We start from the raw sequence: 13,182 nt of genomic DNA, 5'->3' as shown, positions 1-13,182 counted from the left end.
TTTGGAAAAAATTTCAAGAGGACATTTTAAACACAATTTGAACATAGTTATTTAATAAGTAGTGGCCTGTTGGTTTGCCTGTATGTAACACTGTACATAAAGCATTGAAATATATGGTTTGTTTATAATTTCCATTCTTGGAGACAACATCACATGGCCTGAGATTGTCATAGAATCATTACAGCCATACAGGAACTGAAGAGATTGACTAGTTTTTTCTCTCACTAAGAATGAAAATCACTGCCATGTTATTCATAGCATGTGGTCCTCTGAAACTTCTAGCAAAGGACTTTCTCCCAAGGCAACCATTTCCATTGCTTAATGGGGCTTACTGTTAAGAAAGTTTTTTGCTGGGCGCGGTGGCTCATGCCTGTAATCCCAGCACTTTGGGAGGCCAAGGCGCGGATCACCTTATGTCAGGAGTTCAAGACCAGCCTGGCCAACATGGTGAAACCCCGTCTCTACAAAAATTAGCCAGGCATGATGGCGGGTGCCTGTAATCCCAGCTACTCAGGAGGCTGAGGTGGGAGAATCGCTTGAACACAGGAGGCCAAGGTTGCAGTGAGCTGAGATTCCAACATTGTACTCCAGCCTGGGCGACTGAGTAAGCTCTGTCTCCAAAAAAAACAGAGTTTTTGTCTTCGTTTTTTAATGCCAAGCCATGTTCTGTCTTCTGTAATTTCTACCTTCTGATTCTGATTTGCCTTCTATTTAGGGAAAAAAATTGATATGATATTGATAGGAAACAGGTGGTGCATTCAGAATGGATGACTAAGCTGGGTGCACTGGCTCATGCCTCTAGTCCCAGCACTTTGGGAGGCCAAGGTGGGGCCAGGAATTCAAGACCAGCCTGGGCAACATGGTGAGACCCCATAGCTACAAAAATAAAATAAAAATTAACCAGGTGTGATAGTGCACATCTGTGGTCCCAGCTACTCAGGAGGCTCAGGTGGAGGGATGGCTTGAGCCCAGGAGGTCAAGGCTGCAGTGAGCTGTGATTGTACCACTATACTCCAGTTTGGGCCACAGACTGAGCAAGTCCCCATTAACAACGACAACAAAAAAATGGATGATAAAGAGAGTTTGATACAAGGACTATTTACAAAGATGTCTTTTCCTCTTAAGATCAGGAACAAGACAAGGATGTCCATTTTTATTCAACATTGTACTGTAGGTTCTAGCCAGTGAAATAAGGCAAGAAAAAGAAATAAAAGACATCTGGATGGGAAAGGCAGAAATAAAAATATTCTTATATAGCGAGTGTGCTGATGATAAATTTTTGAACTTTCAGCTTTTGTATGTCTGAAAAAATTCATTATCCTACCTTTATTTTTGAAAGATACTTTTCCTGATTGACAAGCTTTTCCCCCCTTGCAATACTTTATTTTATTTTTTATTTTTTTCAGAGGCAGGGTCTCACTATGTTGCCCAGGCTGAAGTACAGTGGCTATTCATAGGCATGATCACCACTGATCAGAGCAGAAGTTTTGACCGGATCTGTTTCTGACCTGATTCCAGTTCACTCCTCCTTAGGCAACCTGGTAGTCCCCCACTCCCAGGAGGTCACCATATTGATGCCAGATTTAGTGCAGACACTCAGTCGACATAGCGCACTACAGCCCAGAACTTTTGGACTCAAGGGATCCTCCTGCCTCAACCTCCCAAGTAGCTGGGACTACAGGCATGCACTGCCACTCCTGGCCCCTTGCAGTACTTTTAAGATGTTTCAGTGTCTTTTCACTTGTATTGTTTCTACCAAGAAATCTCCTGCATCTTTATCTTTGTTCCTCTATATGTAACATATCTGATTTCTCTTAAGCTTTCTCCATTATCACTGGTTTTGAACACTTTATTATGTGTCTTGTCACTGTTTTCTCCATATGTCTTATACTTGGGGTTTGCTGAGCTTCTTGGTTCTGTGGATTTACAGTTCTCATGAAACTTGGAAAAATTTTGGCCATTATTTCTTCAAATATTTTTCTGCCCACTCTTTTTTCTCTTTCAAAAATCTCAGTTACATGTATATTAGATTTCTTAATGTTCATTGACGTTCTTGTATTTTTAAAATTTTCTTTTCTCACTTTGTCTCATTTTTGATAGCTTTTATTGCCTTTATATGTCTTCAAGTTCACTAATCTTTTCTCCAGCAATTTCTAACCAGCCATTAATCACATCTATCGTGTTTTTCATCTCACACATTGTACTTTTAATCTGTAAAAGCTTGTTAAACTTTTTATATAACTTCCATGCCTCTACTTAAGTTTTTGAATCTATGGGATACCTGTTTAATATCTTTATTCAATAATTCTAAAATCTATGTCAGTTCTGGATTGATTTTCATTGATTTATCTTCTCGTAATGGGTTATAATACCCTACTTCTTTGCATGTCTGGTAACTTTTTATTAGATTCCAGACATTGATAATATTAATGATATGGAACACACTACATACATGCACAGACACACACACACACACAGCCTTATGCAATTGCTCTATACAATGAGAAACATTTCCTAGTTATTTGTTTTTATCAGTCCATTCTCTAAGATGCTAGAATATTCTTTGATCTAGGGTGGTTTTCTTGTGGCTTATGTATGTTGAGTTTCTAAATCATACAATATTATGTGTGGTTTCTTTTTTCTAATAATGCTGAAAGAACTGAGTTATGTTGATGGAATCCAATGCCTTTTTAAAATCAATAGAGTAGTAGATGAGATGAAATTCCAGATTCTCTTCTGTTCTCTGTTGATGGATGAATTACCTGAATGGGACCAGCTATTTATCCTTTAGGGAAATCTTCCTGTTCTCTTTAATTTTTAAAACATGCTTTCACATGATTTTCTTGAAGAATGTACTGTACTTGCTTGTATTATAACAGCAGTTAACAATCTGATGACTTTTTCATCCTTCTGTATGGCCGCCTGAAATTAGTGAACAGTGAACCAATTCGGAGGATAATTTCCAATGAACTTAGCTTTTCAGTTTAAGTTAAATTCAGGTTTTTTTTTTTTTTTTTTTTTTTTGAGATAGAGTCTTGCTCTGTCACCCAGGCTGGAGTGCAGTGGCACAATCTCGATTCATTGAAATCTCCGCCTCCCGAGTTCAAGCGATTCTCCTTCCTCAGTCTCCCAAGTAGCTGGGACTACAGGCACATGAGCCACTGTGCCTGGCTTTAAAATTCAGTTTTAAATTCAGTTTTCTTATGGGTAATGAGGAAAATAATAAACTTAGCTTGTAAGGATGACGTGAGGACTAAATGAGATAGCACACGGGAATTTGTCTAGAAAAATGTCTGGCATTTAGAAAGGCTGCAATGAATGTGAGTTCCTCTATTTGGCGAGGAGGTTGGAGGAGAAGGTGGCTACTGTGAAACTTTGAGACAGTGTTTTCCTAATTATGACCCTTTTGCTCTGATTTCTGCTTTAAATCAATCCAGTCCTGAAGAATTTTTAGATTGCATGAGAAATATCTTTGACAAAGCACTTATGCTCCTGGCTTCATACCTGATACTTCTTTTGATGTCACTTTTAGCCTCAGAAATGCAGGTACCTACCTTTAGCCACATGACCTCTGACAAGCACACGAAACATTAGCTTAGAGCAGTGGTTCTCAAAATGATGTCTCCAGACCAGCATCACCTGGGAATTTGTTAGAAATGCTTTTTTTTTTTTTGACAAGAGTATCTGTTGCCCAGGCTGGAGTGCGGTGCAGTGGTACAATCTCGGCTCACTGCAACCTCTGCCTCCTGGGTTCAAGGGATTCTTATGCTTCAGCCTCCTGCATAGCTGGGACTACAGGAGTGAGCCACCATGCCCAGCTAATTTTTGTATGTTTTGTAGAGATGGGGTTTCGCCATGTTGGCCAGGCTGGTCTTGAACTCCTGGCCTCAAGTGATCCACCTCCTTCGGCCTCCCAAAGTGCTGGGATTACAGGTGTAAGCCACAGCGCCCAGCCAGAAATGCAAATTTTCAAGCCCTACTCCAGACATACTGAATCAGAAACTCTGGGGGAAGGACTCAGTAATCTGTGCTTTAATAAGCCCTCCAGGCGATTCTGATGCCCTAAAGATAGAATTTCTGTTGGAGAAATAGATGAAGGAAGAAGCTGATTATCCTTTAATGGCCAAAGCAACTTCAGCAAGAGGTTAATAACTATGTTGCAGGAAAAGTGATAACTTCAGAAGGAAATGACAAGTGTGAGGGGCGAAGGGGGACAAAGGGGTACAAAGGGGTGGTGAGGGGGCTGAAAAGGGTCAAGTGTAAACATACAGGGCTTGGAGCGAAACAGATACCCCTAAAAGGCAAAGGAAGAAAATGTTAGCTCAAGCAAAAAGGCAAAGGAAGAAAATGTTGGCTCAAGCACGTGGAGTCAGAGGAAGAGGATACAAAGCTCTGGAGATATGTTGTATGCATGGTACACACACATGCGTCTACTTGTGAGAACCAAGGGGGAAGATCTCCCTCAATGCAGGGCCAAAATAACAGTAAGACTGTGAGGCAGCTGTGGACCTTTCCAGGGTTGTGTCAGCAGTACCTTTTTTTCAAATAATTTTGAAAAATTTTGTTCTTTTTAATGCATTTATTAAGTTGACATTTAAATTTTTTTCATCATAAGTTTAAAGCATTGGAAAGGATATAATTTCCAGGATATTATAAATAAATCTATTTCATCACTCTTTTAGGTTTTTCCAGTGCTCTCTAAAATCAGAGTATCTTGATATCCACCTCATCCATTTTAAAACTTTATAGCAAGCTCAGCTTTCACAGTTGAAATTTTTATAAGGTATTTTTTTCTTCTTGAACTTGTATTTCCATCCCACTTCCTCCATAGACTTTAACCTAATACAGTATATTTCTATGCTTGAGGTCTTTCATTGATCTCCCTATCATTCTTTAACAGTGAAAATATATAAACAGGTGTAAACTGAAAGTTAAAAAAATTCCTGTGACCATAAAACTCTAAAGGTTGAAAAGATTTTTTTTTTTTTTTTTTTTTTTTTTTTTTTTTAAGATGGAGTCTCACTCTGTCACCCAGGCTGGAGTGCAGTGGTGCTATCTTGGTTCACTGCCACCTCTGCCTCCTGGGTCAAGTGATTCTTGTGCCTCACTCTCTCAAGTAACTGAGACTACAGATGTGTGCCACCACGCCTGGCTAAATTTTATATTTTCAGTAGAGACGGGGTTTTACTATGTTGGCCAGGCTGGTCTCGAACTCCTGACCTCAGGTGATCCGCCCATCTCAACCACCCAAAGTGCTGGGATTACAGGCATGAGCCACCATGCCTGGCCAAAAAGGGATTTTTGTTGTTGTTCTTTGGGTTTTCTTTTTTCATTGAGCCACTAAAACAATTATTAGGAGTTCACAAGAGAGCAAAATAGTCTACTTTATCACAAATTTTAATAATCTTATTAAACCTATAAAGTAAAATATAATTGGAACTGAATCTCTTAATGAAATGGATTGAAAGTCAGCTTATATATCTTGATTAAAGCAATTGTCACAATGTTCCTTTATTGCTTGGAGGTTTAACACTTCCAGGTGATGTGCAAATTTAAATCTTACAGTTGCACATCTGTAAGACTTTAAATGTTTTCCTCTGTAAAGTAGAAGAACCATTGTGAAATATGAGGAGGAAAATGAAACTCCCAACTGCAGCTGCATACTCTAATCAATTTTAAGAAAGAGTTCATATGGAACTTCAGGATCTGGAAATCCATTTTCTTAAAACTATCCATGCCCCCGTACCCGTTGGCAAGTCTTCAGATACTTCTAGGGGTACCTCAATATGAAGATCCCTGTGTATGAACAGGTTTCCGGCCTGAAAGTCAGAGGCCTACGTTTGCTTTGAGTTTTGCTTGTGTCACATTGGCTATGAAATCTTCTGCAAAGAAGGAGGGAATAAACTTGTTGAGTTTCTACCATGTGAAAGGAGCTGACTAGGTGCTTTCACATTTTATTCATTCAATACACATAGCAACTACATAAGGCAGGTGTGATGATCATTAGCCCCATTTTTAAATGGGAAAACTGAGGTTCAGGAGGTGAAGAGCCTAATTTAATGCTATACAATTAGGTAATAATGGATCCAGGGTTCAATCCCAGCTCTGACTCCTAAAGCTCATGCTGCTGTCACTTGGCAACAATGCTCCCCGAACAAGTCATTTTCTCATGGTGGGCCTCATTTCATTTACCTATGAAATTAAGGGAGATGAGCTAGAAGAACCCTAAAGTCACTTCCAGATTTGGCATCCTATGAATCTGTGGGTATTGGGGGAACCTGCCCCCAATATTTCAATGTAGGTTCTTTCTGTTTTCCCTAAGTGTCAGCTGGTCTGAGAAATAAAGAGAAAGAGTACAAAGAGAGGAATTTTACAGCTGGGCCTCCGGGGGTGACATCACATATCGGTAGGTCTGTGATGCCCCTAAGCCACAAAACCAGCAAGTTTTAATTAGGGATTTCAAAAGGGGAGGGGGTGTACAAACAGGGAGTAGGTCACAAAGGTTACATGCTTCAAAGGGCAAAAAAGGAGAACAAAGTTCACATGCTTCTGAGGCCAATAAAGATCACAAGGCAAAGGGCAAAGCAAGATCACAAGGCAAGGGCAAAATTAGAATTAATGATGAGGGTCTAGGTTCGGCTGTGCACGTATTGTCTTGATAAACATCTTAAACAACAGAAAACAGGGTTCGAGAGCAGAGAACCGGTCTGACCTCAAATTCACCAGGGCGGGATTTTTTCCCCACCATAATAAGCCTGAGGGTACTGCAGGGCGTATTTCAGTCCTTATCTCAACCACATAAGACAGATGCTCCCAGAGCAGCCGTTTATAGACCTTCCCCCAGGAATGCAATTCTTTTCCTAGGGTCTTAATATTTAATATTCCTTGCTGGGAGAATAATTTAGCGATATCTCTTCTACTTGCATGTCCGTGTATAGGCTCTCCGCAAGAAGAAAAATATGGCTCTATTTTGCCCAACCCCGCAGGCAGTCAGACCTTTGGTTGTCTTCCCTTGTTCCCCAAAATTGCTGTTATTCTGTTCGTTTTCAAGGTGCACTGATTTCATATTGTTCAAACATCCATGTTTTACAATCAGATTTCATATTGTTCAAACACACATGCTCTACAATCAATTTGTACAATAGTGGTCCTGAGGTGACATACATTCTCAGCTTACGAAGATAACAGGATTAAGAGATTAAAGTAAAGACAGCCATAAGAAATTATAAAAGTATTAATTTTGGGAACTGATAAATGTCCATGAAATCTTCACAATTTATGTTCCTCTGCCTCGGCTCTAGCCGGTCCCTCTGTTAGGGGTCCCTGACTTCCCACAACATGTGGGAGGTAGAGGCCAGGGCTGAAGGTGAAAGGGCTTCTCAGAGATTCATACCCCAAGGGATTAGGAGGCAATACAGAATAGATCCAGAAATTCACCAGACCTAGTGGTGCTTCTGACAGAATCTATGTTGGGTTAAAGTTTAAAAAGCTTGACCTGCCATCCAATCCAGGCAGACTTAAATGAAAACTGATCTCGAAGAAAATAAGGATTTGATTGGCCATTTCATAATTAGACACCTAAATGGGAACCAGGAAAAAAACAACAACAACAACAAGAAAATACATGTAGCCCTATTTAGGTTCAATGAAATCTATGTATTTCAATTTTTCTCTTATTTTCTTTTTTTAGAGACTGGGTCTTACTGTGTTGCCAAGGCTAGAGTGCAGTGGGTATTCATAGGCACAATAATGGCACATTACAGCCTCAAACTCCTGGGCTCAAGCGATCCTCCTGCCTCAGCCTCCTAAGTGGCTGGTACTTCATTATTCTCTTTTATATAGTGAGATCTTTTGAACACCTAGTGCAATCATAAGGTCTATAAAATGATTAATTCTAGAGTCATACATTACAATGAAATAGTAATTAACCCCATGTTATATTTTAGAATATGTAGATCATATAAATATCATATAGATTTGTTGCTTTTCTAGTTTACATGTATTGCATAACAACTTTTCAAAATAGCAGTCTACATTTACCGCTTTGACTTCATTGCTACCATTTACTCCTTATTTATCAACTGCTTGTGACCTGGCTCTAAAACTGGAATTATTTTGTTTAAGGTTATTAGATCACCTCCTCATTGATAAACTCAGTAGCATCATGAGAAGTTTTGTTCTCTAGGAGATTTCTGCTGTGTTTGATGTAACTGATTTCTCTTCCTTCTGCAATAATGTCCAGCTTTGCCCCTGACAATAAACTCATCAAGTTTTCCCCATACCGCCTGAGCCTTCCTTCCCCTCTCTCTCTTTCTGGGGGATTCCTCCTTCAAATACCCATTTTATGTGGTCATTGTTAAACGTTTTTTTCTCAGTCTTGTCTTTTTTTCAGTTTAAATGATAATCAAAATTCTCATTCTCTGGGGAAAGCTTCAAGCATCTCTGTTGATGACTCACAGATATACATTTCAGTTTGCACTCCAGAGCCAAAGAAGTAAACACTTTTCAAACTGTTTGCTAGATGTCCTCAGGTCATCAAATTCAACACATCCCAAACCAGGTGCTTCATTATCACCTTAATATCTGGTCCTTCTCCTGGATTTCCTACCTTAGTCATGGAACTACCATCTTTTCAGTCATCCTGGCTAGAAATCTTGCTGCCTTTGAACTTTCCTAATATATTTTTATAGACAGTAACTTGGGAAAAAAATGTATAGAAGACTTCAAAAGAGTCGCATGCTTGCTTCAAAGACAGTGAGGTAGGGAGAAACTGGGAATTGACTCCAAATTCATACGTGGTCTGGAGAGAGAGGCATCCATTGAGAAAGCGTGCTAGTGGTCACTAAATCAGTAGATTGCAAGTCCCATTGACAATGCCTCAGATATGTTTTTCTTTTTGTCTCTTCCTTGCTGGCTACACTGCTCTAGTTCAATACCTTGTATCTTTTGTTCTGGATTACTGTAAGAGCCTCCTAAATATAAGGCCGTGGACTTGGTTTTCAAAATCTACCTACACAAGTCAGGACAAGAGACAGGTGAGCAAGCAGTAGAACACAGCAACTGGTGAAGGGAGTGGAAAGGAGGTTAGCTGACAATCAGAGAAACATAGGCAACAGGGTGAAGTGGACCTCAGCAAAGTTAGTGCCATCTTGGGTCACACTGTAACACCTCGAATAAGAGAGCTTATAGGACCTCTCTAATTTGAGGGGGTCACAGAGTTGGAATATTGCCTTCTGTTCTTGCAGCAACACACTAAAAGAAATAGAGACAAAATGGAGCTTATTTGAGAGTGTGATCAGGATAGTGAAAAGGCCCAAAGTTATTTTTTCATGTGGAATTGTTGACTAACTGTTGATATTTAACTTGAAAAAGATAAAAGAGGGCTAGTTGTCTTCATATATGTAAAGTACTATCTTGTGGAAATTACTGAAGAACTTTATAGATGTCAGAGCTGTCCTGAGCTGGAATGCATTCAACAAATATTGATTGTATGCCTGCAGTGCTAGGCACTGGGGATACATGACAGGTAAGTCAGTCTCTGCCATCATGGAACTTGAGTTCTAGTATGACAGACAATCAGCAAATACACATAAATAAATGGGCAATATAACTTCAGACAGTGATGGGATGGGCTGCCATAGGAGACAATAATGCATGTGATGTTAGAACTATTTGAGCCTAGTTTTGATGATGACTTGGCAGAGCTCTAGGCATTGGACGTGTTACTAAATTAGATGACCTTTGGGGATCTTCAATTCCGAGATTTTATGACTTTGCCTTTCTACTATCGCCTACCAAATTAGGACTCCCTCTCATACACCCTAAGGCTTAGAAACGCCAAACTCCTTGCTAATCCAGGAACAAACCCTGCACTGAGGTTAGTGAGTCAATAGCGACTCAGTGTGAGTATTTGCCCATGTGGTTCCCTTGCCTGGAATGTCTTTCTCTCACTTCTCCGCCTCTCAAAATCCTACTTGTCCATAAAGGCTCAACTCCAAAATAAACTTTTTAATCAAGCCTCCTGTGTAACACCAACACATACTGCTTCACCCTCTGGGCCAGGTGGCACTTAGCTTGTAGCACTATTAAAGCATGTACTGTGTTTTACTTGTATTGGAATTCATTATTTCTTATTCTATTTCCCTACTAGCTTCTGATTTTCTTCGGGGCAGGGACCACATCTTTCTCTTTTTATAATCTCCCCTAGTGCAAGTCTTCTAGCACAGGGCTTTGCACCAAGAAGATATTCAACAAATAAATTAATGTCACACCAGGCAATAAGTTACTTATTATTTGGACTGAATTAGACATGACCACTGCTGAAGTGAGAAAGATAATAACCTATTGGTATAATTAAGAACTTTCTCTCCAAACTTCTGCTGTATCCCTCTCTACTTAACTAGGTGTGTGTGACCCCGGGGCAAGTTGCCTAACATCTTCATGCCTCAGTTCCTTCATTTGTACAATAGCAATCATATTGACTTCATAGTGCCTACTTATGAAGCACCTTTCTCATAAGGCTGTTTCAAGGATTAAGTGTAATAATCCATGTCAAGTGCCTAGGACAGTACCTACCACATAATTAGTCTTCACTAAATATTATTATTAATCTTAGGCTTTGCTGCCCTCCCATAGCTTTATGGTTTGAAAGTATGGCTTAAGGGTAAGAAAAATAAAACATTTTGAACAGAAATAACAAGAGAAGGCAAATGATTGACCTTATATTAGGTATATTTTCTTTCTTTCTTTCTTTCTTTTTTTTTTTGAGATGGAGTCTCACTGTCACCCAGGCTGGAGTGCAGTGGTGCGATCTCCGCTCACTGCAACCTCTGCCTTCTGGGTTCAAGCGATTCTCCTGCCTCAGCCTCCCGAGTAGCTGGGACCACAGGTGCTCGCCACCACGCCCAGCTAATTTTTTGTATTTTTAATAGAGATGGAGTTTCACCGTGTTAGCCAGGATGGTCTCAATCTCCTGACCTTGTGATCCGCCCACCTCCGCTTCCCGAAGTGCTGGGATTACAGGCGTGAGCCACCGCGCCTGGCAACATTAGGTACATTTTCTGTCATCCTATCAGGCAAAGATAATTTGAGACATAAAATTAAGAGGGAACCCTCTACTCGTATTGAATTTGAAAACAGTGTAACAGAAAGACTGAATATAGATAACACCAAGAGACCCTGCAGGGGATGGGAATTAGAGATGACCTTCCCTTGACAGATGAGAAAACAGGTGGTTCAGTGACTTGTCAAGGGTGAGAATGGGAAGCCTAACCTTAACCTGGCAGGCTCCTTAGCCACTACTCTCCCCACTGCATTCTGCTGTTTCCCAGTTGCATGGCTGAGGCCAGCACAGATTGAAGATGCTGTTACTCCAAAGCCTTATAGGCCCCAGACTTTTTTTATTGCTAGCACACTATAGGCAGCAAGCCTAACTTCAGACAGCTGGGGCTGAAGCTGATACTCTTCTGGCTTTAGGGAGAATTGACTCACAGGCTCAGGCAGGCTGGGGCCTGCAGGTAGAGGTTATTTGGGCTTTATCTGTGAAAGGCTCGGGACATAACAAAGGCAGATAACCTGAGGCCTGTCTGATGTGCATGTAACTCAGGAGAAGTAAGAGGACAGTGTACACTTCTGCATTTATGTGTCAGGAAGACAAATCCTGGAATGAATCCAGATGTGCCCCAAAATGCCAAAGCCAAGCAAAAAGGATTTTCAAGCTATGTTTGGGAGTAAGAAGCAGAAATTAGAAAGGGATAACCCTCACCCTCTTGCTTTTTGAGAAGTGTGTAATGTTTTTTGAGACAGTCTTGCTCTTGTCACCCAGGCTAGAGTGCAGTGGCACATCTCAGCTCACTGCAACCTCCACCTTCCCAGTTCAAGTGATTCTCCTGCCTCAGCCACCCGAGGAGCTGGGATTACAGGCGCCCACCATCATGGCCAGCTAATTTTTGTATTTTTAGTAGAGACGAGGTTTCACCATGTTGGCCAGGCTGGTCTTAAACTCCTGACCTCAGGTGATCCACCCGCCTCTGCCTCCAAAAGTGCTGGGATTACAGGCGTGAGCCACCGCGCCCGGCCGAGAAGTGTGTAATGTTAATAAAGAATTGAAACAATGCAGTTACTTTGATCTCTAGCAAGGGAATAGTGTTTAACTGGGGAGGTTAGAATAAATAGAAGAAATTGAAGCCCACCTGAGGGAGGAGATAGTAAAAGCACACATTGCTGCTTTTTCTGAGTTTTGGGCTTGAAAGAATTACATATCAAGGGATTGCCTAATCAGTATTTACGTTTAATACATTATGTTTATGTAGGGCTTTTCCTGTTACAAAAAGTTTGTCATTTCAATAATCAACTATTGCAATTCAATAAACATTCATTGAGCTTTGCTCATATACAAAGCACAGCCACTTTTCCCCACTCCAATTGGATGATATGACCTCTAAACCTGTCTTTTCTAAACATAAATCAAGCACACCCTGCTTCTCCTCCTGCGTTATGAAGGGCTCTTGATGCACCTATACCATGTGCCAGGAGAGTGAAGCTGTGGATGACGTGAAGCATCTCCCTGAGGAGTCAGTTACTGGAGAATTTAGGTGTGTACATTTATGGGAGGGGGAGAGGTGTGCACTTTTATATTAAAACCAACAGCTATTTTGTGGCATAGAGGACAAAGTCTGTTCCATCAGGCTGCTTTTAGGCTTCATTATGGGCAGATCCTGGTGCAATAGGATGGTTTTTTAGTGATAAAGTTTAAAAAGCACTAAATCTTAACCTGGACACTCAGACTAATGCAATAATTTGTAGGCAAATTAAAATGTCATTATCCTGGCAGGGTGGTGCACCTGTAATTCTGGCTACTAGGAAGGTTGAGGTGGGAGGATCGCTTGAGTCCAGGAATTCTGGGCTGTAGTGTGCTATGCTGATCCAGTGGCTGCACTAAATTCTGTATCAATATGGTAACCTCACGGAAGTGGGTGACCAGCAGGTTGCCTAAGTAGAGGCGAACCGACCCAGGTCAGAAAAGAAAGAGATCAAAACTCCCAAGCTCATCAGTAGTGAGATCACACCTGTGAATAGCCACTGCATGCCAGCCTGGGCAATATCACTGTCTCTAAAAACAAAACAAAACAAAAACAAAAACAAAAAGCTTTGCTAATTCATGCTCCACTTATTTGGAATTTG

General features: G+C 40.7%; 2 pseudogenes; one reads left to right on the top strand and one right to left on the bottom strand.

Annotated features, from left to right (window-relative positions):
• RN7SL397P (RNA, 7SL, cytoplasmic 397, pseudogene) lies at nucleotides 1,405-1,702 on the bottom strand (annotated as a pseudogene).
• On the top strand, nucleotides 12,825-13,113 carry RN7SL762P (RNA, 7SL, cytoplasmic 762, pseudogene; annotated as a pseudogene).

Source organism: Homo sapiens, chromosome 3 (assembly GCF_000001405.40).
Source record: "Homo sapiens chromosome 3, GRCh38.p14 Primary Assembly".
Classification (NCBI taxonomy): domain Eukaryota; kingdom Metazoa; phylum Chordata; class Mammalia; order Primates; family Hominidae; genus Homo; species Homo sapiens.
Note: the sequence above shows the minus strand (reverse complement) of the source record. Positions and strands in the feature narration are given on the sequence as shown.